This window comes from Homo sapiens, chromosome 17, assembly GCF_000001405.40.
Source record: "Homo sapiens chromosome 17, GRCh38.p14 Primary Assembly".
NCBI lineage: Eukaryota > Metazoa > Chordata > Mammalia > Primates > Hominidae > Homo > Homo sapiens.
This window is the reverse complement of record NC_000017.11, coordinates 37316350-37339604: the sequence shown is the minus strand read 5'-3', so window position 1 is coordinate 37339604 and position 23255 is coordinate 37316350. Positions and strand designations below refer to the sequence as shown.

The window sequence follows — 23255 nt, the reverse complement described above, 5'->3', positions numbered from 1 at the left end:
CAGTGGAAATGGGACAGGCTGTGGAGTAGCTTCTAGAGTGTCTGGACAGCTACTCAGTAATTTTCCATACATGACCTCTCTTTTCTGTTGGTTTGTAGGCTCGTGCCTGGGAAATACTATTCAGTACAGTTGCTGGACAGGCTTTTTAGCTGTTCACACTGAGTTGCCTCCAATCTATGTAACCGTTTAGTGAAAGCTGCCTTCATGGTCTTCTTAGCTAGGAACTTGAAGTTGGCCTTATTGAGACTCTCACTTATTAGCCCAGGAACCGTGTTTTATTAACTCTCTTTTTCTTCTCCCATGGAGTCAAAGAATTGTGCCTTGTGGATTTTCTCTTTTGTGTGTGGTCATCTAACTTCAGTCAGACTGCAAGCTAGAATCTGCACCTGAGTGCCTTGCTTTCTTACTTTGTGAAGAAGGCACCCATTATCTTCTGTTAGTTGGGATGGGATTTTATTTTTTGGATCTACTGTTACTTTTAAACTTAACTATTTACTGCTGTAAATGTGAAAGAAATAGGCTTTTTGCTGCTGTAACTTTTGGTGTTCTTCAGTGTGGTCAGTCTGTTGGAACTTTCCCTTCCCTCCCCCTTTCTTTCTTTTTCCCTCCCTTTTACCCCTTTTCCCTCCCTCTCTGCCTTTTTTCTTCCTTTTTTTTTTTCTTTTGAGACGGAGGGAGTCTCTGTCACCCAGGCTAGAGTGCAGTGGCGCAATCTCGGCACACTGCAACCTCTGCCTCCTGGGTTCAAGCAATTCTCATGCCTCAGCCTCCCAAGTAGCTGGGATTACAGGTGCCCACCGCCACGCCTGGCTAATTTTTTGTATTTTTAGTAAAGTTGGGGTTTCACCATGTTGGCCAGGCTGGTCTTGAACTCCTGATCTCAGGTGATCCGCTCACCTTGGCCTCCCAAAGTGCTGGGTATTACAGGCATTAGCGACTGTGCCTGGCCAAAAATAATGGGAGCCCTTTAAAGGTTTTTTGTTTTTTTTTGTTTTTTGAGACAGAGTCTCGCTCTGTCACCTCCCAGGTTCAAGCGATTCTCCTTACCTCAGCCTCCTGAGTAGCTGGGATTACAGGCATGCGCCACGCTCGGCTAATTTTTGTATTTTTAGTAGAGATGGGGTTTCACTGTGTTGGCCAGGCTGGTCTCAAACTCCTGACCTCAGGTGATCTACCTGCCTCGGCCTCCCAAAGTGCTGGGATTACAGGCATGAGCCACTGTGCCTGGCCTGTATTTTTAGTAGAGATGGGGTTTCCCCATGTTGGGCAGGCTGATCTTGAACTTTTTTTAAGACCTAATATTTCAAGGGAGAAATGTATAGTAAATTTAGACAGCAAATTTTTTTTGTTGCATGATACTTTTTTTTTTTTTTTTTTTGAGACGGAGTCTCGCTCTGTCACCAGGCTGGAGTGCAGTGGTGATCTTGGCTCATGTTGCATCATACTTTTATATTTGATTCTAGTTTTGTTTTATTTTATTTTATTTTATTTTATTTTATTTTATTTTTGAGACGGAGTCTCACTCTGTTGCCCAGGCTGGAGTGCAGTGGCGTGATCTCTGCTCACTGCAAGCTCCGCCCCCTGGGTTCACGCCATACTCCTGCCTCAGCCTCTCGAGTAGCTGGGACTACAGGTGCCCGCCACTACGCCCGGCTAATTTTTTGTATATTTATTAGAGATGGGGTTTCACCATGTTAGCCAGGATGGTCTTGATCTCCTGACCTTGTGATCCACCTACCTTGGCCTCCCAAAGTGCTGGGATTACAGGCGTGAGCCACTGCGCCCAGCTGATTCTAGTTTTAAAGATAGAAGTTAGCTAAAGTAATCTCCAGTTCACTTTCAGAAAATGTTAGGCTGGGCTCAGTGGCTCACACTGATAATCCCAACCGTTTGGGAGGCCAAGGTGGGAGGATCACTTGAGCTCAGGAGTTTGAGACTAGGCTGGGCAACATGTGGAGATGCTGTCTGTACAAAAAAACAAAAAGTAGCCAGGCATAGTGATGCATGCCTGTAGTCCCAGCTATTTTGGAGGTTGAGGTTGGAGGATTGCTTGAGCCCAGGAGTTTGAGGCTGCAGTGAACGAGGATCGTGCCACTGCACTCTAGCCTGAGTGACAGAGCAAGACCCTGCCTCTAAAAAAAAGGGAAATGTCTATAGTTTTCTTTACTTTTCTTTTTTTTTTTTTTTTTGAGACAGGGTCCTGCTCTGTCACCAAGGCTGGAGTACAGTGGTGCTATCACAGCATACTGCAGTCTTGAACTCCTGGGCTCAAACGATTCTCCCACCTCAGCCTCCCCAGTAGCTGGGACTACAGGTGCATGCCACCACATGCAGCTAATTAAAAAAAATTTTTTTTTAGGGATGGGATCTCACTATAGTGCCCAGGCTGGTATAGGTTTTCTTTAGTTTTGTTTTAGCAGTCTTGCCAATTTGTTAATTACTGTTTTATTCTTGTACCACAGTGATTCTCAACCTTTAGGGCTTGTGAAAGCATAGATTAATGGATGCTGGCCTGTAGGTTCTGATATGGTTAGTTGGTCTGGGGAAGGGCCCAAGAAATTTGCACTTCTAACAAGTTCCCAGGTGATGCCAATGGTCCAGGGACCACACTTTGAGAACCACACTACTCTAGCATTTATAAATGCTGTTTGTCTCTGTAAGTGAGTAAACTGACTCACAAATTACACCAGAACAATCGTGCATATGTAATTTTCACATGTTGAGTGGTGATTCCCAAACATTTTAAAGTATTGACGGTTTCTCATCTGATGTCAAGGAACACTGTTGTCCACTTACTTTCATACTTTACAGTGAGTTATAGCATACAGAGTTATTAATAATACATTTATTATCTATTAATGTACCATATCTTAGAGCACTTCAAAATCACAATTGGGAATTATTATTTTTCTATTTTTATTTTTGCAGTTGCAAGATTTAATAGAGTGAAGACAGAGCTCCCATACAAAGGGAGGGGACCCAAAGAGGGTAGCTGTAGCTGGCTCGAATGCCTGGGTTTATATCCCGATCATTGTCCCTCCTGCTGTGCTGTCAGGCAACAGATGATTGGCTATTTCTTTATCTCCTGTTTTTGCCTAATTAGCATTTTAGTGAGCTCTCTTTAGTATCTGATTGGTTGGGCGTGAGCTAAGTTGCAAGCCCGGTGTTTAAAGGTGGAAGCGGTCACCTTCCCAGCTAGTCTTAGGGATTCTTAGTTGGTCTAGGAAATCTAGTTATTCCTGTCTCTCAGTCCCCCCTCTCAACAGGAAAACCCAACTGCTGTTGGGGAGGTTGGCCAACAACCACTCTAACTGCTTCCTGCTGAATTGGGGCGTAGTAGAGGTTGTGCAGTTGAGATTTCCTCGGGAGGGGTGCCTTTGATGTCATTAACATCAGAGCATGGGCTAGCAGGCCGGTCCAGGGGTCCGTGGTAGATTTTACTCATGGACTGCATCTGGGGCTCCATTTGAAGAACGATTTGTAGTTTTACTGCTTCGATTCTGGAAAAGACAAACTTAACAAGGAGGTTAAAGATACAGGGTCCAAAGAGGAGTAACAATATTATAGCTGCTAGAGGTCCTAAGAAGGGGAGAATCCAGGGCATCCATTGGCTGAGGAGGCCCCAGGGTCCAGTGTTTTGCAGCTCCTTTGCTCTACGTTATATTCGACCTTGAATTTCTTTAACTTTCTCGGTGATGATTCCGGATTGATTAACATAACAACAGCATTTTTCCTCTAAAAATAAAAAGGTTCCCCCGCTTTCCGCGGTTAGCAAGTCTAAAGCTCTTCGATTTTGAAGGACTACTGCTGCTAGGGAGTTAAGTTGATCTTGCAAGGTGACCAGGGTATCAGCGACCCATTCCATGTCACCATTTAGTTCTTGAGACAGTTTGTAGTAGAACTGAGTAGAGGTTGTGATACCGCCAATGCCAGTAGCTACTCCGCCTAGCACTCCTGCTCCAATAACAAAAGGAAGAATGGGTACTCTTTTGTTGCGGGGCTTAGGTATGACATGATTGTATAAATCTTGTTCAGTGTAGATGGGCATAGGGGCCACTAAGAATGAGAGGAAGCACACAGATTCTGAAGAGCCATTCAAACAATGATAGGCTGAGGTACCACAGACAAAAAATATTCCTGAGGGTAGGCAGACTATTCGTGTGGGAGGAGTTACCCACCTGATGCATTGGGAGTTGGCTGTGTCTATAGTATTGCTAAATTTTACACAGGTGAGGTTTGAGGTATGGGTTATTTCCAGATTGGAAAGAGGACCTACTAAAACAGAAGTGGTGTTTATTTCTGTGCTGAAGTTGTTCCATTGTTCAGGTATAGGGATTGAAATGTATGGCCTAAAGTGCAGGGGGAGGCACATCCAACAGTTAGTAGGGTTTTGGGCCGAGACCTCATGGAGCCCAGTCAGGGTGGTATTAAATAGGCTTACCAGGCCAGTATGGGTATGGAGGGTTTCATGTAGTTTTGAGAGATCTAGTCCTTTGTAGGGGCCAGGGGTGCTATGTACCCAGGTCAGTTGGGAGATTACTTCCTTTATGTGTTTTTCTGTTGCCTGATCTTGAACTCCACCCCCATCAGACATACTGGTATGAGTGAAGTGAGTCCTCCAAGTCCTCCAGGACAACTGGGATTAATCGTTTTTCCTGTCCAATAATGAGTATTTGCATGCATGCAAAGAGTGGCAGAGTTATAGCAGTTGTGGGGCATATGGGTGTGGGCAGTGAAGGTGGGGGTTCCCTTAGATAAACTCCTATACAATGGGGCATCAATATTTCCGGGACGCTGCATTCTCCATAGAAACTCTTGCTAAGGGGAGCTACTGGCATGGACGGGGCATGGACGGGGTGCAGTGGCATGGACGGGGTGCAGTGAGAGTGAAAGGGGGTAAGAGAACAGTAAAGAGAAAAATATGATAAGGGAGGGCCAGGGGATTTACGATTTTAGTTACTTTCCCCCTGGTTGTCATTTGAAGAGCAGGCGCAGATCCTCTAGAGGTTCACAGGAATAGCTAGCATTGTCTCATGGATTTTTGAGTTCCTTTGGCAGTATCCAGGGTTTGACTTGAGTGTGATGTATCCAAGACTCCGCTCCAGCCACTTTAACTGCCGTTAGGGTAGATAAAATGGCTGGGTAGTTTCCTTCCCAGGATGTATCTAGGGATGGGGAATTAGAGGGAAGGGACTTGACTAATACCATGTCACCAGGGTGGAATAGTTCCTTTCCCTCTTCTTGGGGACAGGCTCCCTGTAATGTTTTAAGAACCTGTTGATATTTGGCTAAGGAGATGATGTCTGCAACTAAGTTGGCTGTCTCTCGGTCAAGCCCAAGTTCATTGGTTAGGAAGGGCCGTCCATACAGCATTTTGTATGGACTAAGTCCTGCTTTTTGGGGAGAGTTTCGGATTCTTAGTAAGGCTATAGGCAACAGAGCAGGCCATGCGAGGTGGGTTTCCTGGATTAGCTTTTTTAGATGTCATTTGAGTGTTTTGTTCATTTTCTCCACCTTTCCTGAGGACTGTGGCCTCCAGGCGCAGTGTGAGTGATATTGTATACCTAACACCTGGGATACTCCTTGGGTTACTGTAGCCTTGAAAGCAGGGCCATTGTCACTCTGTAAGCCTTGGGGAAGTCCGAATCTGGGAATTATTTCATGAACGTTTATTACCTCTTGGGCCTTTTCTGTCCTACAGGGGAAGGCCTCTGCCCAACCAGTGAAAGTATCTACCCAAACTAGTAGATACTGAAATCCCTGAGATTTGGGCATATGGGTAAAATCTAGTTGCCAGTCTTCTCTTGGGTAGTGGCCTGTTCTTTGTTCTCCTGAAGGAGCTTGGCGATAAGGCAGGGGATTATTTCTTTGGCACACTTCACAGGCCCTGACTATCTGCTTGATAGTTTTGAAAAGGCCTGGTCCAGTAAATAATGATTTGGCCATCTGATGGGTGCTATCAATACCTAAGTGAAGGGTTTGGTGAAGGGTTTTAAGTAATTTCCATTGGTTAGCTGCAGGCAAAAGTATTTTTCCTTCTTTGGTGGCTAGCCATCCTGAGGGGAGGAAACTATGTCCCCGTGAGGTTCCCCATTCTATTTCTTCTTCTGAGTACTGGGGCTTGGTTTCCTGGAGGGGATTACCCCATACTAGGTGTCCTTCTATAAGCATTTCTAATGGAGGGTCCTGCCTTGCGGCTCTTTTGGCTCCAATATCTGGTTGGCGGTTCCCTTCTATTTCCCTTTCCTTTCCTTTCCTTTCTGATGACACCGGCAGTGTAAGACTGCCACCTCTTTAGGTTTCTGTACAGCCTAGAATAATCTCCTGATGGCTTCCCGATGTTTGATAGGTGTTCCTTGGAAGTTAGGAATTCCCTTTCTCTCCATATTGCTGCATGGGCATGGAGGACTAGGTAAGCATACTTAGAGTCTGTATATATATTTATCCTTTTTCCTGCTCCTAATTCTAGTGCCTGAGTGAGGGCTATGAGTTCTGCCAGCTGAGCAGTAGTTGCTGGAGTGAGGGCATTACTTTCAAGTATTCCATTATCACTGACCACTGCATACCCCACTTTTCAAAGTCCTTTTTCTACAAAGGAACTTCCATCAGTATACAAGTTGAGGTCGGGATCAGTCAAGGGAACCTCTAAAAGGTCCACAATTGGGAATTATTAATCTTTTTTTTTTTTTTTTTTCTAGACAGAGTCTCACTCTGTCACCCAGGCTGGAGTGCAGAGGCATGATCTCAGCTCACTGCAACCTCCGCCTCCCGGGTTCAAGTGATTCTTCTGCCTCAGCCTCCCGAGTAGCTGGGATTATACACTTGTTACCACACCCAGCTAATTTTTGTATTTTTAGTAGAGACGGGGTTTCACCATGTTGGCCAGGTTGGTGTTGAACTGCTGACCTCAGGTGATCTACCCACCTCGGCCTACCAAAGTGCTGGTATTTACAGGCGTGAGCCACCGCGTCCGGCCAATCTTTTTTTTTTTTTTTTTGTACAGATGGGATCTTGTTTTGATGCTCATGCTAGTCTTGAACTCCTGGACTCAAACAATCCTCCTGCCTCTGCCTCCCAAGTTGTTAGGATTATAGGCGTGAGCCACCGCGCCCAGGCTTATTTTCTGAATTAAAATAATTGATCTGGGTACAAGCTATTTAATACTGAGTTGATCTGTAGTTTTGAAATTTTAAAATAGGATTTTTGAGATGACAGAAGAAATATTGTTTCATTTAGTTTGGGTTTTTATTGTTGTGGGCTCTTATTTTGGTTTTTAAAAAATATTTTTAAATTTTTATGGGCAGCACTTCATTCCATAAAAGAGAATGAATGTTGCTGTTTTGGTCTTTATTAATTAGTTTCTTTTTCTTTCTTTTTTTTTTTTAAATTATACTTTTAAGTTCTGGGATACATGTGCAGAACATGCAGGTTTGTTATGTAGGTAAACACGTGTCATGATGGTTTGCTGTTAATTAGTTTCTTAGTTAGCTATTGGCAGTATCTAATCCTAACTGGTAAGGCCCTACATTTAGAAAAATTATACTTACTTGAGGTGATTATAGATTTTAAATTTGGTGATAGATTCATTTTCTTCTCATATCAGTGTCAGCACATTAGAGCCAAAAGTAGTCATTTTGGGGTGACATTTTAAAATGCATAATTTAAGAAAAAACTCATGAGGACAAGTAAAGTTTTTTTTTTTTTAATTAAAAATTACCTATCTGGAGTTTGTTTTAAAAGTATACACATACGTAAAATTCATAGGCCAGGCACAGTGGCTTACACCTGTAATCCCAGCAGTTTGGGAGCCTAAGGTGAGAGGATTGCTTGAGCCCAGGAGTTCAAGACCAGCCTAGGCAACATAGGGAGTCCCCATTTCTACAAAATATTTAAAAATTAGACCGGGCACAGTGGCTCACACCCATAGTCCTAGCACTTTGAGAGGCTGAGGTGGGTGGATCATGAGATCAGGAGTTCAAGACCAGCCTAGCCAAGATAGTGAAACTCCATCTCTACTAAAAATACAAAAGTCAGCCGGGCATGGTGGTGGGTACCTGTAATCCCAGCTACTTGGGAGGCCGAGGCAGAGAATTGCTTGAACCCGGGAGGCGGAGGTTGCAGTGAGCTGAGATCGTGCCATTGCACTCCAGCCTGGGCGACAGAGTGAGACTCCGTCTCAAAAAAGAAAAAAAAAATAGGCCGGGTGCGGTGGCTCACACCTGGAATCCCAGCACTTTGGGAGGCTGAGGCGGAAGGTCAGGAGATCGAGACCATCCTGGCTAACACGGTGAAACCCCATCTCTACTAAAAATACAAAAAATTAGCTGGGTGTTGTGGCGGGTGCCTGTAGTCCCAGGTACTCAGGAGGCTGAGGCAGGAGAATGGCATGAACCCGGGAGGCGGAGCTTGCAGTGAGTGGCAGTCGCACCACTGCACTCCAGCCTGGGCAACAGAGCGAGACTCCGTCTCTAAATAAATAAATAAATAAATAAATAAATAAATAAATAAATGAAAAATAAAAATAGAATTAGCCGGGCATGGTGGCACGTGCCTATAGTCCCAGCTACTGGGGAGGCTGAGGTAGGAGGATCACTTGAGCCCAAAGAGTTTGAGGCTGCAGTGAACCATGATTGTAGTACTGCATGCTGTATGGGTGACAGAGTGAGACCCTGTCTCAAATAAATAAATAATAAAATAAAAGTTATAGCCTCTCAATATATAGTGTTTGAAGCCAGATGAGCATTATGTAGTTTAAATATTATTTCAAACAACCATTACTCTATCCAGACCCTTACCATTTATTCCCCCATTACTAACAACCAAAATATCAATATCACAACAAGCAGCTTTTTCCTACTGCAAAGGTTTCCCCATTGATCATAATTATTTCCTGGACACCACCAAATGAAAATGAGATTAGGAATGCCTTATAGGCTTTTGAGAAAAATTTCTTTGAGGAAAAGGGAACTGGTTTTAATTTATGGGCATAGTTATCATGATCTCAATTTTCCTCCCTTGTAGAAATTAAAGGCCCTGAAATAGAATAGCCAAGGAAGTTAGTTCTCAAATTGCCTTGCTTCCACGTCTCAGCTATGGTTTATTAGATATAACCTCTGGCTGACCTCAGATATAGATTATTATTCATAACCTGCCTTTCTCACTTTTCATTTTCTCCATAGCTGTAAGAGCTCATTTTGGAGGAATAATGGATGAACCATCTCCCTTGGCCCAACCTCTGGAGCTGAACCAGCACTCTCGATTCATAATAGGTTCTGTGTCTGAAGATAACTCAGAGGATGAGATCAGCAACCTGGTGAAGTTGGACCTACTGGAGGAGAAGGAGGGCTCCTTGTCACCTGCTTCTGTTGGCTCAGATACACTCTCTGATTTGGGGATCTCTAGCCTACAGGATGGCTTGGCCTTGCACATAAGGTAAGAGAGAGTTCAATGGTCTACTTATTTAATCTGTCTTGTTAGTTTTGCTGATTATGTTCTGAAAAGAGCAAGGATGATTTCAGCTAAGACTGCTTTGCCTTTTCCTATGTCACTGAACTCAAAGCTTTGTTGAGGAAGTCAGAAATGATGTATTTTTCAGAAATCATGTATGTTCCCATCAAATTTTTCATGTCCTACTAGGTTTTTTTTGTTTTTGTTTTTGTTTTTTGAGACGGAGTCTTGCTCTGTTGCCCAAGCTGGAGTGCAGTGGTGCGGTCTCAGCTCACTGCAACCTCCGCCTCCTGGGTTCAAGCAATTCTTCTGCCTCAGCCTCCCAAGTAGCTGGGATTACAGGCGCCTGCCACCATGCCCAGCTAATTTTTTGTGTTTTTAGTAGAGATGGAGTTTCACCATGTTGGCCAGGCTGGTCTTGAACTCCTGACCTTGTGATCCGCCCACCTCAGCTTTCCAAAATGCTGGGATTAGAGGTGTGAGCTACCCCGCCCAGCCTATTTTTTTTTTTTTTTTTGAGATAGAGTCTCACTCTGTCGCCCAAATGGGAGTGCAGTGGTACAATCTCAGCTCACTGCAACCTCTGCCTCCCAGGTTCAAGAGATTCTCCTGCCTCAGCCTCCTGAATAGCTGGGACTACAAGTGCATGCCCTTGCGCCTAGCTGATTTCTGTTGTTTTTGATAGACACCGGGTTTCGCCATGTTGGCCAGGCTGGTCTCGAATTCCTGACCTCAAGTGATCCGCCTGCCTCAGTCTCTCAAAGTGCTGGGATTAAAGATATGAACCACTACACCTGGCCACTTCTACCTGCTAGGTCTTTCAGTGAGACCTAGTGAGTAAGAGTTAGGTTGAGGAACATCAGTTTTTGTACTACTTTGACTAACATTGTTCTAACTATCTTGATGATTGATAGGACTTCTCCAGGTGTTGTCAACTTCGTAGTAAGTTTTTTTGAACTAATTCATCAGATTGTCAGGAAGTTATATTCTGTTTCTAGCAGGGCCAGTCCCCAATAAAGGGCTGTTAATAGAGCTCTCCTTTTTCTCTAGAAACACAGTTCTCCCTAACTGAGAATGTCAGTACATAGTAACACTAGATTGTTTTTATTTATCGATGTTTGATTATATAACTAGCGTGTGAGATACTAACCTTTGGTCATTTACTTTTCAGTTCTTGGATTAAAAGGTCTGGATCAGTGGTTCTTGGTTCTCACTGTTCATCAGAATCACCTCGGGGAGCCTTGGGAGATAAGCCCCATCCCCAGAGATTTCGATTCATTTGATACTGGCTTGGTGTGGAACTGGGGCTTTTTTTTAAGGTATCCAGGTGATTGTTGTGTACAGCCAGCATTCAGATTATAGGTGTACCCTAGATAACATAAGTTAGGGTGGCTGTTGTTGCTGTTACTATCTTGGCACCTTTATTATTAATGGGTCATAAAATAATTCAGCTCTATTTTATACACTAAATATATCAACTCTATAATAAAATCCTGTATGAGATCTGGCTGGATGTGATTGTTCTGTCTTACTGTTATCCCTGGGGCTTGGGATCGGGGCTTCTGAGAGACTAGGCAGTGTTCGTTAGTGGTCACCCTCATTTAGCTATGTAGAGGTCAAAAGAAAAGTGTAAAGCAAGTTAATTATGTTTTACTTCACAGGTTCCTAGAATTGTAATAAACCAGAGAGATAATTTAGCCTAACACTTTTTATTTTATTTTATTTTAAAAAATTAATTTAAAACATTATTTAAATAGAGACAGAGGTCTTGCTATGTTGCCCAGGCTGGTCTTGAACTCCTGGCCTCAAGCGATCCTCCTATCATGGCCTGCCAAAGTGCTGGGATTACAGGCATGAGCCACCACACCTGGCCACAAAATACTTTTTGATAGTTGGGAAAACTAAGGCCCAATGAGGAGAAATAACTTGCCTAAGTTTGAATAGCCAGAGAACTTGGATTCAAACTCATATCCTGATTTTATTTCACTAACTTTTCTACTCTACTTTCCCGTCCATACAGGTGTCTTAATTATATAACTAGTTCAGACAAAGTTGGTTTTATGGAGTTAGTGAACAAAGCATTATCTCTGGGTTAAAAAGAGGAATAGAGAGCAGTATTTTAGTGGCAGGGAAAAGGGATTAGGTCTTTATGTAAACATTTTTTATTTTATAGTTCACTTAATGATTGGCTCTAAGGTTAATACTAGTGGTGGCATTCTTCTCTCTTGAGGTCATTTGGAAGTGTGTTGGGGGGTTGTGACTGGCAGGACTACTTGCATTTATCGGACAAAGGACAAAGGACCAATGATACTAAACCTTCTGTGGTATAGTAGATAATCCTACACAACCAAGAAATCTGCTACTCAAAATGTCGTAGTGCCCCTGTTGAGAAAGACTGGTTTAACTCTAAATCCATAAAACCACACAGCACCTTGAGAAATCTGTCCAGTTTGAGTCTATGTGAAACATAATATCCATTTGCTGGATTAGGAAACTGAGTTTGGCTATGGTGAGATAAATGTGTTATAAGAAACTCAGCTAGTGATATCACAAGGCAGTTTGTAGTTGCCAAGTCATTCCCAAAGTTGATGGTTCTTATGCAAAGTCTATGTGGTCAGTGGCATGAGTGTCTGGAATTTCTTTGCATGCCTTACTGTTGCAAAAATCATGTCCGTAGCTCGTGGAGGAGCCATGGATTGAAGTGTGATCAGCAGCATGGAAAGGAGACAATGCCAGTTCCAACTCACTCCTCAGCTAGCTAATGTTCTAAAATAGAAAAAACGTTTTCTGTTTATCCATTCCTTAAGTCACTTCTGGATATGGTGACCTTTGGGGTAATTTTAATTGAGTCAAATTCATTTGATAGGTGAAAGACCTCTGTTATGACATCTGCCACTAATTAGGTGTGTGACCATGGACAGTACATATTATCTCCTTGGAGTCATCTATAAAAATGAAGATATTGATTCAGATGCTCCTTTTCACTCCTGGAACTCAAAGTTAAATAGAGACTAAGTTGAGTTTAGGATCAGCTCTTAGAACGAATAGCCTAATCCTTCATGGGTGACATAGATTAAGGGGGCAGGTACATTCCTAGGAGATGTTAACTGGAGGTCATCTGAAACCAAATGAAGTAATTGCCATAATGTAAGATGGGACTGAGTCTCTCTCTCAAGTTTAGGTGCTGAGAAGTCTAGTGGTATGATGGATGAGCCCAAATAGAAAATAGACTTTTCCTGCGATGGAGATGATTTGCCTCATGTATTTTCTAGAGTCCAATGAAAGACTGGGTGAATCACTTTCTTTTTTCTTTCTTTCTTTTTTTTTTTTAGAGGGAGACTCGCTCTGTCGCCCAGGCTGGAGTGCAGTGGTACCATCTCGGCTCACTGCAACCTTCACTTCCCAGGTTCAAGCAATTCTCCTGCCTCAGCCTCCCAAGTAGCTGAGATTACAGGCACCCGCTACCATGCCCGGCTGTTTTGTATTTTTAGTAGAGACAGGGTTTCACCGTGTTGGCCAGACTGGTCTCGAACTCCTGACCTCAGGTGATCTGCCCGCCTCAGCCTCCCAAATTGCTGGGATTACAGGCGTGAGCCAGCATGCCCAGCCTTTTTTTTTTTTCTTTTGAGACGGAGTTTCGCTCTTGTTACCCAGGCTGGAGTGTAATGGTGCAATCTCCACTTACCGCAACCTCTGCCTCCCGGGTTCAAGAGATTCTCCTGCCTCAGCCTCCTGAGTAGCTGGGATTACAGGCATACGCCACCACGCCAGGCTGATTTTGTGTTTTTAGTAGAGACAGGGTTTCTCCATGTTAGGCTAGACTCGAACTCCCAACCTCAGGTGATCCACCTGCCTTGGCCTCCCAAAGTGCTGAGATTACAGGCATGAGCCTGTAATCTGTGCCTGTCAGCCTATGCCTGACCCTGGCCATTTTTTTTTTTTTTTTTTTTTGAGACAGTCTTGCTCTTTCACCCAGGCTGAATTACAGTGGTGCAATCTCAGCCCACTGCAACCTCCGCCTCCCAGGTTCAAGATATTCTTGTGCCTCAGCCTCCTGAGCAGCTAGTACTGGAGGTGTGTGCCACCATGCCCGGCTAATTTTTTTGTATTTTAGTAGAGATGGGGTTTCACCATATTGGCCAGGCTGGTCTTGAACTCCTGATCTCAGGCAATCCACCTGCCTCAGCCTTCCAAAGTGCTAGGATTACAGGTGTGAGCCACCATGCCCAGCTGGATGAATCACTTTCTAAGCTTTATGACCCAAACATTTGAAAATAAGACCCTGGCTGGGCGTGGTGGCTCACGCCTGCAATCCCAGCACTTTAGGAAGCCAAGGTGGGTGGATCACCTGAAGTCAGCAGTTCAAGACCAGCCTGACCAACATGGAGAAACCCCATCTCTACTAAAAATACAAAATTAGCCGAGCACGATGGCACATGCCTGTAGTTCCAGCCAGTCGAGAGGCTGAGGCAGGAGAAGTGCTTGAATCCGGGGGTGCAGAGGTTGCGGTGAGCCGAGATCATGCCATTGCACTCCAGCCTGGGCAACAGAGCAAAAAAAAAAAAAAAAAAAAAAAAAGAAAGAAAAGAAAATAAGACCCTAAGTAAAAAGTAGTTATAGCTTGGTGGGAATATACAGACCTCATTGTAGACAACTGATTTGGCTTTTTATTTTTAGATATGATCAGCTAGAGGTTGATATATCAGCCAGGTTGATATATTTCTGGAACTCACTAGTATTCAATTGAACATTTAAGAAGAAAGGCTGAATGTGGACTTTTTTTTTTTTTTTGAGACTGAGTTTCACTCTTGTTGTACAGGCTGGAGTGCAATGGCGCGATCTTGGCTCACTGCAACCTCTGCTTCCTGGTTTCAAGCAATTCTCCTCCCTTAGCCTCCCAAGTAGCTGCGATTACAGGTGCTCTCCACCATGCCGCACTAATTTTTTTTTTTTTTTTTGAGAGGGAGTCTCGCTCTGTCCCCAGGCTAGAGTGCAGTGGCGCCATCTTGGCTCACTGCAACCTCCGCCTCCTGGGTTCAAGCGATTCTCCTGCCTCAGCCCCCTGAGTAGCTGGGATTAGAGGTGCGCGCCACCATGCCCGGCTAATTTTTGTATTTTTAGCAGAGACAGGGTTTCACCGTGTTCGTCAGGCAGGTCTCGAACTCCTGACCTTGTGATCTGCCTGCCTCAGCCTCCCAAAGTGCTGGGTTACAGGTGTGAGCCACTGTGCCCAGCCCACCATGCCTGGCTAATTTTTTGTATTTTATTTTATTTTACTTATTTATTCATTTATTTTTTTAATTTAATTTTTTTTTTTTTTTTGAGTCGGAGTTTCACTGTTGTTCCCCAGGCTGGAGTGCAATGGTGCGATCTCGGCTCACCACAACCTCCGCCTCCCGGGTTCAAGCAATTCTCCTGCCTCAGCCTCTCGAGTAGCTGGGACTACAGGTATGCGCCACCATGCCTGGCAAATTTTTTTTTTTTTTTGAGATGGAGTTTCACTCTTGTTGCCCAGGCTGGAGTGCAGTGGCATGATCTCAGCTCACTGCAACCTCTGCCTCCCGGGTTCAAGTGATTCTCCTGCCTCAGCCTCCCAAGTAGCTGGGATTACAGGCGTGTGCCACCATGCCTGGCTAATTTTGTATTTTTTAGTAGAGATGGGGTTTCTCCATGTTGGTCAGGCTGGTCTCAAACTCCCGACCTCACGTGATCCGCCCGCCTCAGCCTCCCAAAGTGCTGGGAGTATGGGTGGGCGTGAGCCACCACACCTGGCTTATTTATTAATTTTTTTGAGACAGAGTTTCGCTCTTGTTGCCCAGGCCAGAGTGCAGTGGCGCAATCTCGGCTCACTGCAACTTCCGCCTCCCAGGTTCATGTGATTCTCCTGCCTCAGCCTCCCCAGTAGCTGGGACTACAGGCATGCGCCACCACGTCTGGCTAATTTTGTATTTGTAGTAGAGATGGGGTTTCTCCATGTAGGTCAGGCTGGTCTTGAATTCCCGACCTCAGGTGATCTGCCCACCTCGGCCTCCCAAAGTGCTGAGATTACAGGTGTGAGCCACTGTGCCCAGCTAATTTTTTGCATTTTTAGTAGAGATGGGGTTTCACCATGTTGGCCAGGCTGGTCTTGAACCCCTGACCTCAGGTGATCCACCCGCCTTGGCCTCCCAAAGTGCTGGGATTACAGGCGCCCGGCCAGTGGACATCTTAATTTTGATAACCAGTGTATGATTTGGTGGCATATAACAGAGCCATCTAGTTGTATGGATATTGGCAGTTTCTCTGCTCCTATGGGATGTCACTTGAGGTCAGATCGTTTTGCATACTTAAAATTCACCGCATGCTATCAACCAAATAGAACTGTAAACAGTTTGTCAACTAATAAGCTGAATTTCTGGTTGAAGTACAGTTGGAACAGGTTATCTCCACATTTGGGTCTTTTACCTCTTAGCATAGTGTGATTTCTTTCCTCTTTTTTAAAAATCCACCTCCTTCCTCTCTAGCATAGTGTGATTTCTTTAAATCTTTTTTATCCTATGCTAAATGTATGGGTTTTTTGTTTGTTTGTTTGGTCTCACTCTGTCACCCAGGCTGAAGTGTTCAGTGGCGCAATCATAGCTCACTAACTTCCAACTCCTGGGCTCAAACAATCCTCCTGCTTCAGCCTCCTGAGTAGTGGAGATTATAGGTGTGCACCACCGTGCTGAGCTAATTTTTAAAATTTTTTTAGAGATGGGGTCTTGCTATGTTGCCCTGGTTGGTCTTGAATTCCTGGCCTCAAGTGATTGTCTGGCCTTGGCCTTCCCAAGTGCTGGGATGACAGGTGTGAGCTACCTTGCCCAGTGTATACTTCATGTTATAGTGAAACAGGAGAGTTCCCTCATCTCCCTTGCAGGATGTACCACAGGGATGTGTCTTGCTTGCTCCTTCGGTTGCCCCACTGCTCAAACCCCTAAGGGGAGGATGCAGATGGGCAGGTGCAACAGCCATGGGAAGCACTTTTGGGCTCCAGCCCCACGGCACCATCTTGGGGTGGTGTCTGCGACTCTGAAAGCCCAAGTGAGCATGTGTTACAGTGTGCTCTTTCAGCTTTGCTGTCTGCAGACAGCTTGTGTTAACCAGCTCAATAGACCATCTGCCTTATTGCAAGGGCAGAGGGCCAGTGTGACAGCTTTCTGTATCCTGAGCTCTTGCCCAGTGTACCAGAAAAATTGGATCACATGTGGGCTCGAAGGATGAGTGCAAGGTTTTATTGAGTGGTGGAAGTGGCTCTCAGCGACATGGATGGGGAGCTGGAAGGAGGGGCTGGAGTAGGGAGGTGGTCTTCCCCAGGAATCAGGGCTCCTGGAGGCCGGACTCTTCTCTGACGGCCCCGAGTTGAATTCCCCTCGGTGTCCAGACGTCCCTCCTCTCTTTCTCTGCCTTGTCGTTCCACCATTGCAAGTCTGCTGGCCTGCTGGTGTCTGCTGGTCTGTTCCTCTGCTCCTCTTGATGTTCAATCACTTGTGTCTGTGCCTGCTGTGGTCTCGGGTTTATTTGGGCACAGGATTGGGGGTGTTGCAGGCCAGAGTGGTCTTGGAAAATGAAGCATTTGGATGCAAAAACAGGCATGCCTGTTCTCACTTAGGTCCATAGGTACAGGTCAAAGGTGGAGCCCTTGACAGGGACTCTGCCCTTCTCTACCCAGCACTTCCCTGTCCCCTTCCCATATCAATAGTATTTGAAACTTGATCTCAATTTTCTCTCATGTGTCTTAAAACATATGTTCAAGTCACTGAATGATCTTCATTTTATGGTTAACATAAAATGAAGCATGTTTGGTTAACAACTTTATCTGAGAACAATCTGTATTTGCTGTTATATGTGTATACCTAAAACCAGCGTAAGATGTCTATCACTGGGGTTCAAGACAATAGTTGTTGCTTTGGAAGGAGAAAGTATATTCACTCAGGAAGGGCTCTGAAGTTGAGTTATATTTCTATTTCTTTTCTGATCTAGAAAGAAAAGTACTTTACCAATATTTTTGAAAATTGAGAATTCAGATGAGATTGCCTGTAAAGATGTTGGACTCTTCAGAATAATTTAACTAGAAAATTTTGAGCTCTTTTGTAATTATAAATAATTTGTAAAGTTTCTCCCATGATACTAGTCATAGTATGTTAATGAGTTTGGAATAAGCTCCTAGATACCACATTTCATTTTTTTTTTTTTTTTTGAGATGGAGTCTTGCTCTGTCGCCCAGGCTGGGTGCAGTGGCACGATCTCGGCTTACTGCAACCTCCGCCTCCTGGGTTCAAGTGATTCTCCTGCCTCAGCCTCCTGAGTAGCTGGGATAACAGGTGTGCACCACCATGCCCGGCTAATTTTTGTATTTGTATTTTTTTTTAATTATTTATTTATTTATTTTTTTGAGATGGAGTCTCGCTCTGTCGCCCAGGCTGGAGGGCAGTGGCGCAATCTCGGCTCACTGCAAGCTCCGCCTCCTGGGTTCACGCCATTCTCCTGCCTCACCCTCCCCAGCAGCTGGGACTACAGGCACATGCCGCCACGCCTGGCTAATTTTTGTATTTTTAGTAGAGACGGGGTTTCTCTGTGTTAGCCAGGATGGTATCGATCTCCTGACCTCATGATCCGCCCGCCTCAGCCTCCCAAAGTGCTGAGATTACAGACGTGAGCCACCGCACCCGGCCACGTTTTGTAGTTTTAGTAGAGACACCATGTTGGTCAGGCTGGTCTTGAACTCCTGACCTCGTGATCCACCTGCCTTGGCCTCCCAAAGTGCTGGGATTACAGGTGTGAGCCACCACGCCCAGCCAGATTTCATTTTCATTCACAATTCATATAAAGCTGTGCAGACCTTTATCCTTGGGCAGTAATAGTGTCAAGGTCAGATTCTGGGAGGATCTGGGATTGACTTTCAACTTCTTCCATTGGGTCAAAAGAGAAGTTTAGAGGACAATAGTGAGAGAAGGCCTATCTATTGTTCCTACATTCTATTTTTCACATTAACTTTAGGAAATATTAGTCAAGTTTTCTCAGTGGCTAATTAGAAAAATAATGGTAATAATAGGTTACATTTAATAAGTGCTTTACTGTATGCCGGATACTCTGCTGTGCTTTATGTGGAGTACCACACTGAATTATCAAAACAATCCCATGAGGTAAGTATTGTGCTATTATTTCCCACAATTTTTTTTTTTCTTTTTTTTTTGAGATGGAGTCTCACTCTGTTGCCCAGGCTGGAGTGCGATGGCGTGATCTCGGCTCACTGCAACCTCTGCCTCCCAGGTTCAAGCAATCCTCTAGCCTCAGCCTCCCAAGTAGCTGGGATTACAGGTGCCCGCCATCATGCCTGGCTAATTTTCATATTTTTAGTAGAGACAGGGTTTCACCATATTGCTCAGGCTGGTCTCGAACCCCTGACCTCAGGTGATCCACCTGCCTCGGCTTCCCAAAGTGCTGGGATTACAGGCAGGAGCCACCGTGCCTGGCCTATTGCCCACAATTTATGGATGGGGAATTGAGACATAAATTAAATAACATGCCCAAGGTGGCCAGCTTGGGTATTGAATCTAGTCAGAGCTCGTACTATAAACTACTACACTAAACTAAAACCTTTGGTGTAACAGATATGCTTTTTTTTTTTTGAGATGAAGTCTCGCTCTGTCGCCCAGGCTGGAATACAGTGGTGTGATCTCGGCTCACTGCAACCTCTGCCTCCCAGGTTCAAGCTATTTTCCTGCCTCAGGCTCCCATGTAGCTGGGACAACAGGTGTGCGCCACCATGCCTGGCTAATTTTTGTTTTTTTAGTAGAGACAGGGTTTCGCCATGTTGGCCAGCTGGTCTCGAACTCCTGACCTCAGGTGATCTACCCACCTCAGCCTCCCAAAGTGCTAGGATTACAGGCGTGAGCCACTGCGCCCAGGCCTTATGGTCTGTTGAGCAGTTCTTCTCTAATTAAATGTTAGCCTTGTTAGAAAGGGATAGAAGTTAGAAAATATATATTTATATATACTTGAAAAATTTTTTTTACAGACAGGGTTTCTCTCTGTTGTCCAGGCTGGAGTGCAGTGGTGTGATCATGGCTCACTGTACCTTCAGACTCCTGGGCTCAAGCAATCCTCTTGCTCAGTCCCTGAGTAGTTGGGACTACAGGTATGTGCCACCATTCCCAGCTAAGTTTATTTATTTATTTATTTATTTTTTGAGATGGAGTCTCACTCTGTTGCCAAGGCTGGAGTGCAGTGGCATGATCTTGGCTCACTGCAATCTCTGCCTCCCAAGTTCAAGCAATTCTCTGCCTCAGCCTCCTGAGTAGCTGGGATTACAGGGGCCTGCCACCACCCCCAGCTAATTTTTTGTATTTTTAGTAGAGACAGGGTTTCACCATCTTGGCCAGGCTGGTTTTGAACTCCTGACATCGTGATCCACCCACCTTGGCCTCCCAAAATGCTGGGATTACAGGCGTGAGCCACAGCGCCTGGCCTAAATTTTTTTGTAGAGATGGGGTCTCACCACGTTGCCCAGGGTGGTCTTGAACTCCTGGGCTCAAGTGGTCCTCCCACTTTGACCTGTCAAAGTGCTGGGATTACAGGTGTGAGCTACCGTGCCCAGCCTAGAAAAAATATTTTTTAAATCATGCTTTATTAAAGAAGCAGAATAGAAAATAAAAAACAACACAAGCAAGCAAACATAAACGCTTGTATATTTGCCACCCAAAGGTTACTCCCTACCATCTGTATCCTTTTCTATGCATATATGTATATATTCATATTTTTTTACTAAAATGAGGTCATACTGTACACACTGTTTTATAATCTGCTTTTTTTAGTCAAAAAAATTCACTTTCTATTTCAATAAATTTTAATCTAATTTAATATACACACTCTATTCATTTCTCCAAGGAACCTGAAAATTCTGGTTCCTTCATGCAAGTATCCAATCCACAAATTGTGTATTATGTTCTTTAAATTTCTTAATCTGTCACATTCTATCACATTACCACCCCCCACCTTTTTTTATGACAGTGACTAGTGACTCGTTTAAGAGGAAGTTAGCAAATCATGAAAGTATATGATTGCTAGTGAAAATTTGGTAGCATATAGAGAAACAGAAGGAAAAATAAAGGAAGATTTACCATTCTACACTTTTTATAGTTACAGAGCAACAATTGGTATTAATTGCATTAATGATGATATTTTAATGAATTTTATAATCATTTTATGTACCATTTATGACAGAGCTTTTTAGTTTTAGCTATATATGTTTGTGTTTGACTAGGAAAGACATACAGATTCTCATTTCTTTTTAGTCTCACTTTAAACTCCTTGAGTTTGAAATGACTTTATTTAAATCTAGTGGTAGAGATAGAGTTAAGTAATAGCTATGAAACTTTTGGAATAGTAAAATGTGCCATATTGGTATAATACATTATTTATTATCAAGGAGTCCTTTTATAAGATAAAAATTTTTTACTGGAAAAACCTCTTTAAGTCTTTTGCATGTTAGTGCTTAAAACTTGGAAATTTAGGTCTGAAAGCCTTTTGATGATGGCAAATATATACTATCAATATTATAATTCACACGTTGAGAATAACCACTATTGAAAATGCAGGAGGCCAGGCGCGGTGGCTCACGCCTGTAATCCCAGCACTTTGGGAGGCCAAGGCAGGTGGATCTCCTGAGGTGAGGAGTTCAAAACCAGCCTGGCCAACATGGCGAAACCTTGTCTCTACTAAAAATACAAACATTAGCCAGGTGGTGGCGAGCACCTGTAATCCCAACTACTTGGGAGGCTGAAGCATAAGAATTGCTTGAACCCGGGAGGTGGAGGTTGCAGTGAGCTGACAGCACGCCACTGCACTGCACTCCAGCCTGAGCAACAGAGCAAGACTCCATCTCAAAAACAGAAAAAAAGAAAAGAAAGTGCAGGAAATTTTATTCCTGCTTCCTATCTATTGGTTCATCACTATCAAGCTTTGACATGGGAAATAAGGAAATTGGCTCTGGTTTTGTTTATATTAAGGCTTTGCTTATGGATAGTTTGAGAGTGTTCTTATGTATTGACTTTCTTAGCATTTCTCATTTAGCTTTCCTGAGCTTCTTCCCTTCCCCTAATAGCTCTCCAAACTTTCTACTTTCAGTGCTCCTTCCTTGATATTCTGAGGTTCCCAGTTGCCATGGTGCCTTTGTAGTGAGTAGACAGAGAAGGTCATTATGAGATCTGCAACTTGGTACTCCTTTGCTGAGGGAACTAGTTTCCTCTTTCCATCTCCCATCCTCCCCTTCTTTCCATTCAGAAAACAGGAGCTGTCTGTGGCCATATATGTATTTTAGTCTCTGGAGTGCATTCTATAAACTTAGCTAATTGTGGAAATGAAATTATGAATGTTGTAAGTAAGGCTCGGTACAGCTGCTTGACAGTGTTTATTACTTTTATTATTTCAAGTGTAATGCATGCATTTCCCCCTCTTTTCTTTCTGTTAGCATAAATTTACAAATGAAGTTTGCATTTACTACTTTATATTGTTAAATTATTAGAAGTAATGTAGGTTTATTATTAGAAAAGTAGGAAATCCAAGAAGTTTTTTTTTCCAGATAGAGTCTTGCTGTGTCGCCCAGGCTGGAGTACAGTGGCATGATCTTGGCTCACTGCCTCCGCCTCCCGGGTTCAAGCGATTCTCGTGCCTCAGCCTACTAAGTAGCTGAGATTACAGGTGCCCGCCACTATTCCCAGCTAATTTTTGTATTTTTAGTAGAGACGGGGTTTCGCCCTGTTGCCTAGGCAGGGCCGCCTGCCTTGGCCTCCCAAAGTGCTGGGATTACAGGCGTCAGCCACCGCGCCCAGCCTCAAAAAGTATTTAAAAAAATAGAAACACTGAGGAATACAATCATTCCATAGTAATCACTATTCATATTTTATATATTTCCTTTCTGTATTTTTTACCACTTAAGGATAAATGTCATTAAAAATATACATATAGATGATATTATAATGAATATACAGCTCTGCTTTCTGCTTTTTTTCCCCATATAACAACACTTTCTCATGTCATTGCAAATCTTTTTTTCTTTTTTTTTTTTTTCTGTGACAGGGTCTCTGTCACCCAGGCTGGAGTACAGTGGCATGATCACGGCTCACTGCAGCTTCAACCTCCCTGGGCTCAAGTGATCCTCCCACGTCAGCCTCCCAAGTAGATGGGACTACAGACGTACACCACCACACCCAGCTAATTTTTGTATTTTTTGTAGAGACACGGTTTCGCCATGTTGGCCAGGCTGGTCTCGAACTCTGGACCTTAGGTGATCTACCCTCCTCGGCCTCCCAAAGTGCTGGGATTACAGACATGAGCTACCTCGCCTGGCCTGATTCTAAATTTTGGCTGTTGTGAATAGTGCTGCAGTAAATATGGAGTGCAGATATCTCTTTGATATGTTGATTTCCTTTCTTTTGGATATATACCCAGTAGTGGAATTGCTGGGTTATATGGAAGCTCTATTTTTAGTTTTTTGAAGAGGTTTCATACTGCTTTCCGTAGTGGCAGTACTAATTTATATTCCTACCAACAGTGTACGAGGTTTCCCCTTTCTCCACATCTTCATCTCATGACACTACTTCAGAGGGTTCTTGTTACCCATAGGATATGTTAGTGTCTAGCCAAACATTGTGTCACAGGTGCTTAACATTATTTCTAATACTCACAACAGTACTAATTATTATTATGGTGGGCTCAATGAGTTCTGTTAAGGGTCCAATAAGGTCTTGGAGATGTTTGAACTAGAATTTGAAGGATGAACAGAAAAAAGG

General features: G+C 43.8%; 1 protein-coding gene across 22 annotated transcripts in view; it reads left to right on the top strand.

Annotated features, from left to right (window-relative positions):
* ACACA (acetyl-CoA carboxylase alpha) overlaps positions 1-23255 on the top strand; it is a 321845-nt gene that overhangs the window by 67232 nt on the left and 231358 nt on the right. For 14 of the 22 annotated variants that reach the window (XM_006721853.2, NM_198834.3, XM_047435882.1 and 11 more), the window contains one exon: positions 9180-9432. In XM_006721853.2, the coding sequence (XP_006721916.1) occupies positions 9180-9432 (253 nt within the window). Of the gene's footprint in view, positions 1-9179; positions 9433-23255 lie in introns of those variants that run through there. The other 8 variants (XM_011524701.2, XM_047435892.1, XM_005257267.6 and 5 more) reach the window with 2 other exon arrangements.